Here is an 18,231-nt window from a genome sequence, read left to right on the forward strand (position 1 = left end):
TGACTGACACCAAGAAGATAATAGGAAGACATGGGGCAGAGGACTGAAGCAGTAAGTCCATCCTAGCCAACTTCTTTTTTTTTTTCAAATTTATTTTTAATTGACATAAAATTGTATGTTTTTGTCATGAACAACATGTTGTTTTGAAGTATATGTACATTGTGGAATGGTTAAATCTAGCAAATTAACAAATCCATGCCTCACACAGCTATCATTTCTGTGCTGAGAGCACTTAGTGTCCACTTTTTTAGTTTTTTTTTTTTTTTTTTTTGAGACGGACTTTCACTCTTGTTGCTTAGGCTGGAGTGCAATGGCACAATCTCAGCTCACTGCAACCTCCGCCTCTGGGGTTCAAGTGATTCTCCTGCCTCAGCCTCCGGAGTACCTGGGACTACAGGTGCCTGCCACCACGCCCAGCTAATTTTTGTATTTTTAGTAGAGACAGGGTCTCACCATGTTGGCCAGGCTGGTCTTGAACTCCTGACCTCAAGTGATCTGCCTGCCTTGGCCTCCCAAAGTGCTGAGATTACAGGCATGAGCCACTGCGCCAGGCCTTTTTTTTTTTTTTTTTAGCATTTTTTAAGAATACAATATATTGTCATTAACTATTGTCACCATGCTGTACACTCTTCAAAGTGCTTTTTATTAGTGGCATTAAGAAAGAATAGACCTTTAGGATATTTTTCACTTACAAAAAGTTACTGTCTTAGTATATCAGCCATGTTTCAACAATGCTTAGATCAAAGCAGAGGAGAAATTCCTAAGACTATGGGGAGGAGAGTCCAAATGTTTGTCTTTAGAGTCCTGGTGATAAGGACAACAAGAAAATCTGTAAAACGACATTAGATGAGATCGTCCATAGGAAAGTCTTCAAAGTGGACATTGACGTGGGCTTAGATATAAATTAGAACAGGACCTCCAAAGATATGAGGCATTCTCCCCCGGTGCCACATATACCAGGAGAAGCCCAGGATCTGAGGGAGCCACCAGCACCCTCCCTGAGAAAGCGGGGAGTGTCCCGTTGCCACTGTTCCTACTTTCAGGCCTCCATGTTAGATTTGCGGCCCATATCTCAAAAAGGTGTGATTAGAATAACAAGAAAGATTTTTGGCAGCTTGCGTGAGGAAGATGGTATCTAAAATGCTAAGACCGATAAGATGGAGAGGGTACGAAATTAAGACTCCAGATAGTACCAGACATTGAAAAAACAGTAATGAAATGTGATTGAAAATTGCAGCAAGTACAGAATGGAGCCCCATCCGAGCTTGAACCCTGCAAACAGGCTCTAGAAAGTTGCATAAATAGGCTTCAGAATACCTTGTAACATCTAGAAAAAGCTAAAGGTTTGTGTGCACCTTAAAACACCACTGCCCTGGAGTAATGAGGGGACCACTTTGTCACATGTTATGAAGGGGGATCAAATAGGAAGAAGCTGACCTCAGAGAGCTCTCTCCTATGGGCAGCAAAAAAAAAAAAAAAGTCAATTAAAATAAAAGTTAGGAACCATAGGAGATATATATACACACACACACACACATATGTATATATCTATACACACACATAATATGAAAGCAAAGTGACCCCAAAAAAGATTAATAAAGAAGACAGCTATCATAACTCTTAAATTCCTTATTACATGCTATCAAAATACATCATGTGATAGCATTAGGCATGCAAGATATTTATGTAAAATTTAGTTTCTTGGATCCTAATTTTGTCTCATATGTGACTATAAGGTACTTAGAGATGCGTTTGGTCCACTGTGTCGCACCCTGGTGAGCAGACCTTTCAGAAGCTTGTCAAAGGGCAAGTGTATGCATTGTTTCCTTTTTACCATCTACATTATCTGTTCTTTCTTACAGTACATAATTCTTCATGCTGGTTACTTTACAACCACCACCACAAAAAGAAAGTCTTTGATCTCCTGCAACTAGAGATGTATTTCTGCATTCTGGCATGTGCTCTCAATACTGTATATTTTTAAGAATAAGACAATTAACCAGCTTAAGCTGCTTGAGCATGCTTGCTGATTAGTTTTTACAGCATTAGGGAGTCAGAGAGGGCAAGCGCAGGAGCTTAGCCACTCAGTCTGTCAGTGGTCTGGGTTTGTAATCCATGATCGCAAAGGTAGCTCCACCCACACGTGATAAGCCAGCTGTCAGACAGGGTTCTGGTCCCTTCTGTGCCATTATGTCAGGAGCTGAAGGTGGTTGAGTTAGGACAGTGATGAAATTGATCCTAGCATGTTAGACATCTCCCTCAGTCCAACACAATCCGAGTATAATCTAAGTCTTTGTTGTTCAATGCAGTAGCCACTAGGCACACGTAGCCAATTAAGTTTAGAGTAAATAAAATTAAATACAATTTTAAATTTCATTCCTCCATCATCAGTCACTTTCCAAGTACTCAGTAGCCACAGGGGTAGAATTTTTCCATCATCACCGAAGCTTCTCTTAGACAACCCTGATTCTAAATGCTTTGTGTGTCTACCAAGCGGTGATACTGAATTTTTTGCATCTAGTAACGTGTCACAAAATTATTCTCCTTTCTGTCAAAAGATAGGAAGACCATTTGATCACTATTCTAAAATGTTTGGTGAACCTTGGTTTCGCAGGATCAAGGACTACGGCTGAAGTTGGTTTTGTACCTGAGCCATCCTTTTTGGCATGTTAAAAAATCAAGTTCAAGTTCTTTTCCTTTACAAATAAAGCTGCGAATCAATTCAGATGGTTACAGAGTGAAAGGAGATCTGATCGGAGACCAAGGGCCAAGGATTGTAGGGTGACCAGCACCACGGTCACTTCAAAGTTGTCTTTGTATTTATTCTTGTTCTTACTAGCATATGTCTTTCCTGGTAGGTCTTCACCCAATAAAAATGGTTGTGGTGAAGGAAAACAGTACAGAGAGCAATTTTTTCTCATTTCCTTTGTGCCTCAAAAGCGTGAAACAATTTTGCAGGCCAATAAATGTTAACACTTCTTTGCAAACTACCAGCAAGCTAGAGACAACTTTTTTTTTTATTATACTTTAAGTTTTAGGGTACATGTGCACAACGTGCAGGTTTGTTACATATGTATGCATGTGCCATGTTGCTGAGACAACTTTTTAAAAGTACTATGTTTTTGTTAGGTCAGTGCAAAAGGAATTGTGGTTTTTGCCATTGAATAAAAGCCTGCAGTTGCTCTTTGCAAATAGTGGCTAGGAAAGGAAAGATAGGGCCTCGTTTTCACTTCCTCTTGGCTGGGGCCTCCCAGCTGGAGTGCTGTTCTGCAGAGTTCATTCCTCACACACCGGGTGCAGCCTTTCTCCCAAAGACGGTTAACATTCTCTCGAATTGTCTCCTGACTGAAGTTAAATATAAGCCTGCATTTCATGCGTGTGACTTTGAAGAAGTGACTCAGTCTTTCCAAGCCCATGTATGTCAAGTAGCAGCAACAGCCGAGACATGGCAAGGGCTATTTCTGGGGAGTTAAGAAGCAAAGGACTGTAAAGCCTCATTGCCCAGGACGTAGCAAGCGCACAGCAAAGTTACATGCATATAACTTTGTTGTTAATGAAGCCTCTGACAGTCAGTTTCCTCATCTGTGAAATGGATACTAAATCCTAAGATGTGGGACTTGCAATTAAGTCATGATGTCAGTGGTGCTGTGCCTGGCTTGGAGTGACGGTTGCTCAAGGTGAAATTGCAGAAGCAAGCTTTTCTCAGGCAGCTCTAGTCCTCACTGTTCACCGTTCTATGTTGATGCTTCCACACTCACCCTCCCTTCAGACTCCAGCTGTCCCCTCCTTGGGGATCATACCTTAATGAAACCATAATTGTTTTTTCCAAAATTGCTGTACAACTGCATTCTCCACAAAACACAGTTTACATGTGTAGACACAATCATGGCTCAGCTCTGTGGCTTAATTTGGAAATAATATGTCTTTTCTTTACTCTCTTGTTTCTGTCTTCATTCTAGAACAACATGTGTCACATAGTAAGCACTCATCAAATACTTACCAAGTGAATACATGTTACAGAAATCTATTTCTCTACACTCTCTTCATTAAAAGAGAATTTGCTTCCTATCGGTATATGAGAGGGAGCACAATTTGGCAAGGTTCGAGAAGTACCCTTGAAATGTGTCAAGGCTAGATTTGTCTGCATATTTTTAACAGAAGCCCTTTAAAAAAATTTTAAATGGACAGAAATTAGGTCTTCTGTGTTGCTCTTCTGAGAAATGTGTTACTGGGAATAACAGAACACAATTGCACAGTTCACCACCTATGACGCAGTTGTACATCCAACAAATAGTAATTAAGTGTCTTCCATGAGCCTGGATTCTCCCCGAGGATCTGACAGACCAGTAGGAGAGATAAGTGGTCAAACAAATTATAGGGGAAGCACAACCACAGCAGTGAGGACGTGATGGGTGCACACTGGGCCACAGAGTGCCTTGCCCTCCGTGGAAACTGCGAAAGGCTCAGGAAGGGCATGCCAACAGCATCGAGTGCAGTAGTGCAGTCAAGAGGGTAAAAGATGGGGGCATGGAAGGCAATGGTATTGCCTGAACCGCTCCTCCCACCAGGAAAGAAAAGTTATAACAAAGTTGCGACATATGACAGCTCAGTAGAAGTCCTTTCTGTCCATTTTGCAGCTGGTTGTAAATCTATCCTACATCCACTCATGTACGCAGCCTCAGCAGTCAGCTAGCAGGCACTTAATTAAGCATCTTTTTTGTCCTAGGTCCTGTGCTCTGTGCTATGTTTGCTTTCGCTCTGAAACTAGCACAACCACACTAGAAGTGTTGGAAAATGGAGGAGAGTTACACACGCAGACACTGTTTATTTTGGATGAACAAGCATCTCATTCCTCCTTTTTCTCATAGATTAACTATGCAGGTATTTTGTTCTTGTGAGAATGGGACCAAATAACTTATGCACAGAAGATGACTTAAAAGTCACCGACATGCCTTAGCAAAAATACCAAATGGAAAATACTTTGTAGGAGAAAATGTTGATCTCCTAACGTGACACACATGTCCGTATCATTCTGCAGCAGTTCAGATAAGAGGCAACTTTATGATGTAATGAGATGGCTTCAGAATGTAGTCTAACTCCTAAGCTACTGTTAGGATCCCAGAACCTGCCCTAAAAGTATTCTGTGATCATGGACTGTCTTCCCTACTTCATCTCATTGACTTTATCAAGTAGTTGCAAACATTTTATGCATCAATATTAGAACAAAAAAATAAGAAAACTCTTGATGTAAATTCATTTTTAATAACCCTCTAACCAGTATTTGCAAATGAACTTTTAGCACGTGTACACATGCACACACACCCGGAAGTAGCCACAAACCAAATTAGACTTTAATTTGTTAACTGTGGTTTTCTAATTTCAGTTTATAAAGAATGAATATTTCCAGTTCTGACCCCCAGAGGTTCCATTTTAATTGTTATGGAGTAGAACAGGATAATGCACTCTAGTCATCTGATGTTACTGAACCCCAGACCACACTTTAAGGAACAGTTCTATCTCTCACAGTAAGTTTCTGGTTGTGTAGCGGTGATAATGTCGATCATGATGGATACTTAGTGATGTTTATCATGTGCAGGCATTAAGCTAAGTATCTTTCATCTGTAGAATAGCCCTACCTAGTAGGACTGTCATCATGACCCTATGTAGAGAAGGGCATTAAGTCACTGATCAATGGTGTAACTTGTCCTGTGTCACATAGGCAAGTTTGGACCCTTGAGTCAGGTTCTCAACAGCCTCCCAACAAACATGCTACTTTTATTTATAATTGTTTAATGCAAAAAGGCTCTTCACCGCATCTGAATCAAACTTTGAGGGAATACTGTACCAGTTATGTGTTTTTGCATAACAACCCACCCAGAACTTACAGGTTTACATAAAGTAGTGATTGTTTTACTATCCCTCTCAGGCTCTGGGTGTCAACAGAGATCACTGGAGCAGTTGTCACTCTCGGTCCTTCATGCAGCAAGGTGGCTGGAATCATCTGAAAGCTGGTCACGGGCATGTCTGGTGCCTCAGCCATCTGAGGACTGTGACTCCTTGGGTGTCTCTCTCTGTCTGTGTGGTCTCTCTGCATTGCCTGGGCAGCATGACAGCTTCAGGGTATCCAACTTCTTACAGGGAGAGTCAGTGCTTCAGGGGCATGTGCTTTGGGAGAGAGAAAGCAGTAGATGCAGCATCGCTTTCAGGGAGCCAGTTTTGGGAGGTGAGCAAACTCCCTTCTGCCACGTTCCTTCCATCACCTCAGTCCCAAACACCAAACCAGGTTTAGGAAAGGAGAAACAGATTCTACCTCTGGAAAGGATATACTGTGGTGGCCAAGGTGTTGGAAAGTACCATCTGTATCAGTCCACCCTCTGGACAAAACAATTTGTATCCCTCTGTCATACAAACTATACTCACCCCTACCCCAGACTCCCCAAAGCCTCCTTCATCATCTCATCTGGCTCAGGTTCAAGGGCCAGATCGCATCGTCTAAACCAGATCCACATGTGCCGGTGCCTCCGGTACGATTCCTGAGAGAGACAGCGCCTCAAGTGTGTCCTCTTCTAACTGAAGACTTGTGGCCTAAAAAGACAAGTTGCCTGATCCCCCCACACAAGCAAAATGCATCAGAGGGACAGGTAGAGAATAACTGATGCATGCTTCTGCTCAGACACAGGAGGGAGATCAGGCGACACACAGTGGTCATTGGTGGGTAGCAGTTGTGAACAAGAGCTGGATGCATGTTGCTTATGCCTTCATGAGGATGAACAAGAGCTGGATGCATGTTGCTTATGCCTTCATGAGGATTTAGTCCAGTTCCCAGGCTGGAAATAATTTTCCGTAGCTCTTAGGTCTATGTTCTGGAATCTTGGTTCCCCACTTTTTGACTAATAATTCCCAATCCACAAGAGGTGACTTATGTTTGGGGCTAGTAGTTTTTTCAGCCTGCTTCTTCCTTATCAGGGTTGTGTTGTTGCTGTTGTTTAGAGGTGAGGTCTTGCTATGTTGTCCAAGCTGGAGTGCAGTGGCTATTCACAGGTATGAGCATAACGCACTGCAGCCTTGAGCTCCTAGCCTGAAGTGATTCTCTTGTTCAGCTTCTGGAGCAATTGGGACTGCAGGCTCACATTGCACCTCGCCAAAATTTTGAGAGACCAAAGTTTCTTCATTTTTGTGTTCAGGCTGCTCCTTTCAGTGTAAACTGATAACATTCATTTAAAAGCTTTGTGACTTTCTTGTGAATCAATTCATAATCCACCTGATTAGTCAAAAGCCACACCCACAAATCTTTCTGAGATAATCTCTTCTCTATCTGGAAGCTCACTGAGTACTTCCGTGGGTCAGTGCCCTTGATATTCTTAGAAGACCTGTGGTTTTGCTTCCTTGAAAAGACCTATGAAGCCCCTCCTTGATTTTTTCTGTGTACTTCATGAAGGGTCTCATAAGTGTGTGCTTGACTTCATCTTTAGATCATGTTTTTCTGAAAATTCCCTGAATTTTATTTCTGCTTGGAAGTCATTTCTTTTCTTTCTTTCTCCTTCCTTCCTTCCTTCCTTCTTTCCTTCCTTCCTTCCTTCCTTTTTTTGTTTTTGAGATGGAGTCTCACTCTGTTGCCCAGGCTGGAATGCAGTGGCGCAATCTTGGTTCTCCGCAACCTCCACCTCCCAGGATCAAGTGATTCTCCTGCCTCAGCCTCCCAAGTAGCTGAGACCACAAGCACGTGCCACCATACCTGGCTAATTTGTGTATTTTTAGTAGAGACAGTTTTCAACATATTGTTGAAAGGCTGGTCTTGAACTCCTGACCTTGTGATCTGCCCGCCTCGGCCTCCCAAAGTGATGGGATTGCAGGCATGAGTCACTGTGCCTGCCTGGAAGTCATTTCTTAACATTCAAATTATTTGCCATCTGAAGAGCCTGGCAGTGAGGACCATTTTATTTTTAAACTCAGAAGGTTCTTGTTCCTTTATAGTGAATAGTTCTTTCTTTACTTTATCTCTGTATCCTCATGATTTACTCTAGGCAGCTAGAAGAATCCAGGAGGCAACTTTAACACTGCCTGGAAATCTCCTTAGCTATGTCACCCTGTTCATTTTCTGTTTTCTATTTTCCACATGACTGTAGGTGAGATACTATTGCTAAACTTTGTACTGTGGCTGAAGTGTTGTGTTCCCTTCAGCTTCCAGCATCTTCCTCACTGTTCTTTAGGCCTCATCAAGAGCTTTCTTGAGGCCACCACGCTTCCCTGATGGTCCCTTCAAAGCTCCTCCCATGTCCCAAAGCAACTTCAAAGAGTTTAAGGTTTTTTTGTTTTTGTTTTTGTTTGTACAGCAGCAGTCCACTTCCAGGTACCAATGTTTTTATGACTTGTCTATTGTTATGTAACAAACCTCTCCAACTTAGTAGCTTAAGACACCAAAGAAAAGGTTATTATATCTCTCATGGTTCTAGTATTTCGCTGGGCTCTGCTGAGCAGTTCTCAAGGAGCCTCTCTCATCACTGCAGTCAGATAGTGATCACTGGAAGTCATAGTCAATTACATCTCTGGTGTCTGGGATGGGAAACCAGACAGCTGAGGGCTGGAGCAGATAGGAGTCCTCTGGCTCTCCCTCACCTCCACGTAGCCTCTCTACAGTGCCCACAGCATGGCTGCTTCAGGGTGTACAGGCCTGTACATGGAAGTCAGGGCTACCTAGACATGTGTCCCAAGGGAAGGAGGGGGCCAGGCAGAGGCTGTATTGTCATTGTCCCAGCCCTAGAAAGCAGGCAACATCATCTTCTAATCATTGTATTCACTGGGGCAGAGACAGAGACCCTCCCCGATTCCAGATTCTGGAAGAGCATGTGGCGCTGAAAATATTATTGAAGCCAGCTTTGGAAAATACAATCTCTTACAAATCCTTTAAATTATTCATATCTTCAGAGCAACTCTGTAATCTTAATGTTAAAAATTGGGTTGCTTCATTCACTTTCTAGAAGCTCAGGGGCTGCTATGTTTTAGCCCATTGAAAGTAACTGGAATAATGCTTATTAATTAGAGAACTGCACACTTTGGGTACTTTCTATTCTTAAAAGTTGGCTGCTTTGGGGAACCCTGTATAGTACTGACTTAGAAAGATGTCCATTGAGTTCAAAAATTACCTTTGTTCTTTTCCATTCCCATTTGAATGATTCCCATTGTTTTCTGGTTACAGTGTGTTGAGAACTGAGCGAAGCACTTTCCCTACAATATCTATTTTATTCCTTCGAGATACATACTCATATCACCATTTTGTGCATGAAAACCCTAAGGCTCAGAGAGCTTTGCCCAGGAGCTCTTCTCAAATTACAACCCTGCCCTACCAAGCCCAGCACAAACACACACAGTTCTGTGACCCTCACCCTGGCCTGTTGGTTCTCATCTTCAAGGCCTGCATCACATTCTAACATACTGTAGAACTCACTCATTTGGTGTATTTCCTTTTTTGTTGTTGTATGACTGTTCCCACTAGGGTAGAGGAGGGCAGGGAACTTCTCTTTATTCATGAATTTATCTCAGTAAATACTGGTTGAATGCATATGACTGAATGAATGAATAAAAGGTCATGCTGAGATTTGAGCCCAGATCCCTCTGATTCCAAAGCTTTAATTTTAACCATTAGACTTCATTGTCTCCCAGAAACTGGGTACAGAGACTGATGTCAAAATGTGCAGTCATAGAGAGGGAAGAATACAGCTGCCTCAGTTAAATAACTCAAGAACTCAACAAAGGCAGATGTGCCCCTATCAAGAATTCCTGCAGATACAGAAAATACCAACTTAGTAAAATAATTGAAGATTTGGGAGTTTGGGTATTTCTAAGACTGGAGGTAATTTTTCTAAAATTAACATCTCTGTTATCAGTGAAATTATATTTATTTAATAAAACATTATTATAATTTACAGTAAAAGCATTAGAAAAAGAAGTCTTGTGGAATTTCTTTTTTGACTTAATTTTCAATTGTTTTAAACTTATATTTAAGTAGTTTTGTTCCATCTCTTTTGAAATTCACTCTTGTAATAATATTATGCTCATTTGTTTTTCTGAGTATGGCTTCTTTTTTCAACGTCAGAAGTTTCCCCTTGAAAAGTTCTTAGGGAAATGTTATTCTCTTGGTTTCCCTGTTGAGTATGTGTTTTTGTTAAGGATTGAAATGTACTGATTGTAAAACCTGTCCTCCCTGACATTTGAACAAAGTCCTTTTTTAAAGTCTCTCCATCCACACAAGTGTTTTTGTTTTGTCCATTTTACATCATTTATTTAATTTAATTTAATTTATTTATTTATTTATTTAATTTGAGACCAAGTCTCACTCTGTCGCCAGGCTGGAGTGCAGTGGTGCAATCTCAGTTCACTGCATCCTCTGCCTCCTGGGTTCAAGCAATTCTCCTAACCTCAGCCTCCCGAGTAGCTGGGACTACAGGCGCGTGCCACCTCGCCCAGCTAATTTTTTGTATTTTTAGTAGAAATTGGGTTTCACCATGTTAGCCAGGCTGGTCTCAAACTCCTGACCTCAAGTGATCTGCCCACCTCAGCCTCCCAAAGTGCTGGGACTACAAGTGCCCGCCACCACTCCCGGCTAATTTTTGTATTTTTGGTGGAGACAGGGTTTCACCATGTTGGCCAGGATGGTCTCTATCTTTTGACCTCATGATCCGACTACCTCGGCTTCCCAAAGAGCTGGGATTACAGGTGTGAGCCACTGCACCCAGCCCATTTCACATCATTTAAATAATCACGCTTACCCATTTCCGACAGTAAGCTTTCATATGCCACTAACTATTAATAGTTAATTGGCCAGGTCTCCTGGGTTTCAAATCATAAGGACCAGTTCAACCCATACCTTATGTCACACCTGTTAGGTCCTAAGAATCCACACCTAAGTGTGTTCCACCACCTGATCCCTGAGTGTCACTTCCCCACTGCATCTCCAGGGACCGCACCTCCGCAGCCTCCATGGGTGGCTGACATCCTGGTGTAGCAGGACCAGCCACAGACAAAACTCCTCAGACACCAGGTTAAAGAAGGAAGTGGCTTTATTCGGCCGGGAGCTTCTGCAGACTTGCGTCTTAAGAGCTGAGCTCTCCGAAAAAGAAATTCTTGGCCCTTTTAAGGGCTTACAAGTTTAAGGGGTCTACGTGAAAGGGTCGTAATAGATAGAGCAAGGGTGGGGAACGTGACTGGGGTTACATGCATCAGCTAACAGAACAGAAAATTTTACAATGCTTCTTCATACAAAGTCTGGAATTTACAGATAACACAAGTAGTTTAGGTCGGGGGTTGATATTATTATTATTATTATTTTAACCACCAGAGCCGGGTGGTGGCACCAAGGTCGTCTGGCTATTTATTTTACTTTTGTTTCTTTTTAACTTTTTGCTTTCTCCTTTTTCTCCTGTCTTATAAACTAGGCAAGGGGGGTGGGTGGGTAGCAGCAGAAGTGGTGGTCTCCTTCCTCACTGGAACCCCTTGACGTTCCACTGGACAACCTCCTCAGAGGGTGGGAGTCTTCTTCCATCTCCAAGATCAAAACTCTCTTTTCTTGGGGGTGGTCTCAGGAGTTCGGGTTCAGCCAGGGAGCCTAGTGGGTGGAGGAACATGCAGGCCCGGTCCCTTGGGATTCTCGGGGCACGGGGCCGTGGCTCCCTCCGAGTCGAGCCCCGGGCTTGGTGGGCACCCGTGGGCCTGGCCTGGCACCCACTGACCGCGTCCTTTCCTGCCGCAGCTCTGGCCCGGCCCAGACCGCACAGCGACGACTACAGCACCATGAAGAAGATTCCTCCTCGAAAGCCCAAGCGCAGCCCCAACACCAAGCTCAGCGGCTCCTACGAGGAGATATCGGGGTCCCGGCCCGGGGACGCGAGGCCCGCGGGCGCCCCGGGGGCAGCAGCGCGCGTTCTGACCCCCGGGACTCCGCAGTGCGCGCTGCCCCCGGCGGCGCCTCCGGGTGACGAGGACGACAGCGAGCCTGTGTACATCGAGATGCTGGGGCACGCGGCCAGGCCCGATAGCCCGGACCCCGGGGAGTCCGTGTACGAGGAGATGAAGTGTTGCCTGCCCGACGACGGCGGCCCGGGCGCGGGCTCCTTCCTGCTCCACGGCGCATCGCCGCCCCTGCTCCACCGCGCGCCGGAGGACGAGGCGGCGGGGCCCCCAGGGGACGCGTGCGACATCCCGCCGCCCTTCCCCAACCTGCTGCCGCACCGGCCGCCCCTGCTGGTGTTCCCCCCGACCCCCGTCACCTGCTCCCCCGCCTCCGACGAGTCGCCCCTGACACCCCTGGAGGTGAAGAAGCTGCCAGTCCTGGAGACCAACCTCAAGTACCCCGTGCAGCCGGAGGGGTCGAGCCCGCTGTCCCCGCAGTACTCCAAGAGCCAGAAGGGCGACGGCGACAGGCCCGCGTCCCCCGGCCTGGCGCTGTTCAACGGGTCCGGCCGAGCCTCCCCGCCGTCCACGCCGCCCCCGCCCCCGCCCCCGCCCGGGCCGCCCCCCGCGCCCTACAGGCCCTGCGCGCACTTGGCCTTCCCGCCGGAGCCCGCCCCGGTGAACGCGGGGAAAGCGGGGCCGAGCGCAGAGGCGCCCAAGGTTCACCCAAAGCCAAACTCTGCCCCCGTGGCCGGGCCCTGCAGCTCCTTCCCCAAGATCCCATATTCCCCCGTGAAGGCCACCAGGGCGGACGCCAGGAAGGCCGGCTCCAGTGCCTCGCCCCCCGCGCCCTACAGCCCTCCCAGCTCCAGGCCTCTCAGCAGCCCCCTGGACGAGCTCGCCAGCCTCTTCAACTCGGGGAGGAGTGTGCTTCGGAAATCCGCGGCGGGAAGAAAAATCAGGGAAGCAGAAGGTAAGCGGAGCAGACATCCCCCCACTCCTTTTGCATGGACGCTGTGCTTGCGTGCACCTGTGTACATCCGTGTCTGCGCAGATGTGAAATAGTAAAGTTTCAGGTGATGGCCGTGGTCGTTCAGAGCAGATATCAGCTTTAAAAAAAAATCGTATACACCCACTGTGACCAAATAGGTAGGAATTAATATTTCCATATTGCAGAATATGATAGGAAAGGCTCGTGATATAGAAAGACGCAGACCGCAACTGGATTTAATAAATTATAACTTGATAAATGTTCGACAGAGCAAGGTTAAATGTTAGCTACTAATTTCTTTTTTTAAAAAAATATTTTTTCCTTATAACGTGAAAGTGGTATTTTGTGTATGTTTCTATCGCCGATTTCCGTTTGATGTACAGTTCACAGCTAATCCCCGAGCGTGCGGTTTGCCATCCATCTAGCTTTGCCTGGCGGTGTCTGGGATGTTGACCTAGCCAGTTACTACCCTGCGCTTAATGCCACTCGGCTGTGGGCTGTTTGGGATGAACTGCTTTTCTTCTGGTCGTATGCCATCCAAGGAGCACTCTAACGCAGCCCCGTTATCTGTGTTTTCTCATCCAGCGACTCAGCCCACAGTGGGGTTTGCAGGTGGAAATCAGTCCACTCAAGTGAGCTCCATGACAGGCTGTTGCCTGCATTCAAAAACATTTATTTTGTGTCCCTGTAGAAGAATGTACCTGGCAAAATAAGATTTTCATGACGACGTTTTTTGCCAGTCTTTTGTAACTGGCTAACCACATGGCTCTTCCTTCAGATGACACGACCTCAGTGCCAAAGGCACTGCTTTTGCACAGATTCCTTTAATCACAAAGAATGTCTTCCTCTTCCAAAAGACATGTTAAGGTTTGTATACAAAACCAAAATGTTTTCTCAATGGTGTGTATTTTGGGGAAGAAGTTCATTGATGAAAAGGATCTTCTCCTTAAGGAAAATTATAACCAGTCTCTTCCATCATGATGGCACTGGATCCCCCACTCGCCTCCAGGTGAGGCAGGAGGATAGGGTCTGGAGGCAGGGAACCTAAGGCCCTTTCATGTCGACTCCCTAGAACTAAATTGAAAGGAAAATCATAATTTTCCATGCCTAAGTAACAAAAGGACCCAAGGCTACTCCCTCTGCAAACCCCCACCTTTTCTGCACCACAGATGGGAAATTGGCTGTCCGCAACCAGTCAGACTTACTGCAGGCAGAGTCTTCCTTTGTGTACAAATGCAACTCTATAACTTCACCTTAGCCTCTGTTCCATTGCTTTTTGCAACCAATCAGATGTTTGCACAGGAGTGTGATCTTTTAACTTCACTTCAGCCTCTGATTGGAGGCCACCACTTTATTTACATGAGGTGAGCATGAAGTGGCCAATGGGAAACCTCTAGGGGGTATTTGGACCCGAGAAGATTCTGTATCTGCGCCCCTGAGCTGCTGCCCAGCCCAATCCCACACTGTGGAGTGTACTTTTGTTGTCGTTAAATCCCTGCTTTCATTCTTTCGTTGCTTCATTCTTTCTTTACTTTGCTGGGTGTTTTTTCCGATTCTTTGTTCAAAACGCCAAGAACCTGGACAACTTGTAGTCAAGACCCTCTACTGGTAACACAGGGTAGATGGCAACTGTGGGCATTCTCATTTCATACTTGGAAAACTTCACGGTGGAGAGGTTAAATATCTTCCTTAGGGTTAAGTGGTAGGATTGGAAGTAAACTTTGACCTACAGTGTAGTAACACTTTATGCATGCATTAACCTGCTCCTTCACCAAAAGAAAATACATAAATGTGTAAGCATTCATCATTTGATTAGCGAAATTACTTTAGGTACAAAAACTAGAACATCTAGAAAGCAATCTGAACAAGTGAAAAGTAGGTCAAGGCTAAGAAACTTTAAAAATGAATGAATAACCTTCTCCCTATTTATTCTTCAGACAAATAAGCTAATTGTTTGTTTAGCTAACAGATTCTTCTTAATTATAGGCCATTAATAAATGAAATTGTACTTCTAAATAGCAGAATGTTTGAATTTCACACACCGTGTTTCATTCCAAGGAACAAAATGGATAAGAGAAAATCATTAAATGAACAAATTAATATTTGCTTTTAGAACTAAAAGTTTATTAAAACCTCATGAACCTCATTTTACTAGAGAAAGGAACAAGGTGAGTTCTTCTTGACTCTATTCAAGGAAGTGAAGTTAATGAATTTCTAGACAGACCTCATCATTTGGAAATCCCAAAGTCTACTCCTTAGAGGATAGTGAGAATTATAGTGAGCCCTCCAGGCATAGTGTGTAAATTTGCTAATTTTATTTCCCTGTGGTGGTATTAACCAGTATTTGGGAACACACATCAAAATCTCAAGTACAACATAGTTCAACTATAATTATAAGACTCTATTTTCTTATTGTGGGCTTTTCTGAAATCCAATCATTTGAAAAGATTGGATTGAGCCACTTATGACTTTCTCAAAAATACATGAATTGACAACTTTGGCCTTTGGCATAGTTGCTGTAGTAATAGAAAACTTAGCAATACCAGACCAGGTCATCCCTGTACATAATCTAACTCCCTGTAGTTAGATTATGGGAGTCCTAACTATACAGTTGAGAAGTGTATAATAATTCTTTTTTTTTTTTTTTTGACGGAGTTTTGCTCTTGTTGGAGGGCAATGGCACAATCTTGGCTGACTGCAGCCTCTGCCTTCCAAGTTCAAGCAATTGTTCTGCCTCAGCCTCTCGAGTACCTGGAATTACAAGCGCCCACTACCATGCCTGGCTAATTTTTGTATTTTTAGTAGGGATGGGGTTTCACCATGTTAGCCAGGCTGGTCTTGAACTCCTGACCTCAGGTGATCTGCCCGCCTCAGCCTCCCAAAGTGCTGGGATTACAGACGTGAACCACCATGCCCGGCCAAATGTATAATTCTTTATGGGCTGTGATGAGGGAAATAAGTTTACAAGTTCGGATATCATGTTCTCATGGATAGTTCAGGCCATTCTTTTAGAATGTAGGAGAGGTTAAACATAAGCTATGGAAGGAAAAGCATTCAGTGCTGGTGCTCAGCACTGGGGCTGGTTATATGACTATTAAAGTTTACACAGTTTGATCCTGAGGTTAGTAATCCATTTTCTTCTGAATGAATTCAATGACTTTTATGGAATTTCTTTCAAGTTTTAAATCTTTTACTTTACCTTCTTTATGCTTAAAGACATTTTTATTTTCACCGTGAAATAGCTTTCTTACCAAATAATACAGTGTGTGGCTAATTTACCCTTCAGGGTCCTTAAATTAACTAAAGTTCATTTTTTGTTCAATTTTCATAGGAGAAAATTATTGCACAAATTTTGCAGAAAGGTTCAAAATGTTCTCCTTGGCTGTTTGGAACAATGACATCGAGGAGATTAAACTGCTCAGTAATTCACTGCTTTAGTTATTTCTGGTTGAAATATAATGTGCTATAATGTACAGTGAGTTGTGTATAGGAAGCAAGGTTGTTTCTTGCGTAATTCTACTCCATTACTATTCCATAGCCTTATATGTAGGATTTCACAAATTCTATGTTGCCCAAACCAGTTCATTTTCTATAGATTCTTGGATATGCAATTTGAAGTATACAAAACCATGCAGATTCTAAGAGTGGTGGACACACATATAAGAAAGATATGATTGTGCAGATGATGGATGTGACTGCAGTCTGAGAAGAAATATTTGCAGCAAGGAATTGTAGTGCTTACTGTGCCAGGCATTGTCTGAGTCATCTAATTCTCACAACACTATAAGGCATCTTCTCCACTTATCTCCATTTTACAGGTGGAAAAACTGGGGCACAGGGAGATTAATCTACTTGCTCAAAGCTGCTGTGCTCGTGCGGGACAGAGAATGACTTGAGTGCAGTAACTCTGTCTCTAGAGTCTCTTCCCCTAGCTACCTATGCAATGCTGCTCAGACAGCAAGAGAAAAAGAGACAGAAAAAAAAAAAGTCTTTTAAAATTAATATTTGTTCACTGAGGGGCAACGAGTAATAGTCATAAGAGTTTAGTTGAAGAGAATTTTCCCATAAACTCAAGAATGCCAAATGAACTTTATACTGATGATGGGTATGTATAATTCTGGGATACAGTGTCTAGGCTACTTGGCCCTTAAAATTAATATTGACTAAATGTTTAATTGTCTGTTCCATTCTAGACATAAAGATCCCATTAATTCACAACATTTTTTTCCATCTCATGTGATGATGTGGCTAATATTATTATGCTAATTATTTCTAGTTGCTTGGTTTCAAAAACTATGAGACCCGATTCAAATGGTGAATGAGAGTCCTTGGCTCCTTTAGGCCACTAGGGTGCTCCATTGCTCTGAATGGCATCTCAGCGTCTGGTTGAGTTTATCCAGAATAAAGTGAAATCACATGAGCATGTTATTCTCTACTCACTGAAAAAGATCAGGAAGACAGGGTCTTGACAAAAAATGCAGTACATCTCAGAAATCTGGAGAAGAAAGTGGAAGACAGCCAGGCCGAATTAACGAAAATCAGACTCAAAATATTTTTTAAAAATTCAGTTTTATTACATTCTGATACAGTGCATCCTTAGCTTATAAGTTATAAACAGGTACTAAAAATGATGTCAACAAAAAAGCTGTAATGTACAGTATTTCTTTGCATATAGTAGGTGGCTATTAAATAGTTGTTTGAGGTAAAATTTACCTATAAAAGAGCAGTTTGACATACAAATCTATTTGATAGAACTAGCTCTTGTGGCATTTTTACTTAATAAGGATCACATAAGCTAAATGGAAGTCACTATTAATTTCAAATATTTTATTTGATTACATAAATATTCTGAATAAGAACATTATGAGTTTGGAGTGAGAGTATTTTATAAACAATTTTTTTACAATATACTTTTATTCCATAGGGCCATTTGTTTACAAAATAATTGTTTTTCAAGTTTTCCTTATGGAAAATTTCAAACATAGACAAAAGTATAAAGAATAGATTAATGAACCTTCTCTGTGGCCCATCCTATTTCATCTCTACTCCTGCCCATTTCCCTCCTCTGGCACTGGATCATTTTTAAGTGCATCCCAATGTCAAATCAGCCAGGCATGGTGGTTCATGCCTATAATCCAAGCCCTTTGGGAGGTTGAGGTGGAAGGATCGCTTGAGCCCAGGTGTTCAGGACTAGCCCTGGCAAAGTAGCTAACCAGGCCTTGTCTCTACAAAAAAAACAATAATGATAATAAAATAGCCAGGCATGGTGGCATGTGCCTGCGGTCCCAGCTACTTGAGAGGCTGAGGTGGGCAGATCGCTTGAGCCTGGGAAGTGGAGGCTACAGTGGCCGTGG

The 18,231-nt window shown here is 43.4% G+C and overlaps 1 protein-coding gene and 1 long non-coding RNA gene across 8 annotated transcripts in view; one reads left to right on the plus strand and one right to left on the minus strand.

Annotated features, from left to right (window-relative positions):
• The window catches only part of MYO16 (myosin XVI), a 712,290-nt gene that overhangs the window by 632,802 nt on the left and 61,257 nt on the right, over window positions 1-18,231 (plus strand). For all 7 annotated transcript variants that reach the window (XM_011521062.2, XM_047430183.1, NM_015011.3 and 4 more), the window contains one exon: window positions 11,747-12,859. In XM_011521062.2, coding sequence (XP_011519364.1) covers window positions 11,747-12,859 — 1,113 coding nt within the window. The remainder of the gene's footprint in view (window positions 1-11,746; window positions 12,860-18,231) is intronic.
• On the minus strand, window positions 11,040-11,831 carry LOC124903208 (uncharacterized). Its single transcript, XR_007063865.1, has 2 exons — window positions 11,727-11,831; window positions 11,040-11,602 (listed from the first exon to the last, which is right to left on the minus strand). It is a non-coding gene; the product is annotated as an uncharacterized LOC124903208 (long non-coding RNA).

This window comes from Homo sapiens, chromosome 13, assembly GCF_000001405.40.
Source record: "Homo sapiens chromosome 13, GRCh38.p14 Primary Assembly".
Taxonomy (NCBI): Eukaryota; Metazoa; Chordata; class Mammalia; order Primates; family Hominidae; genus Homo; species Homo sapiens.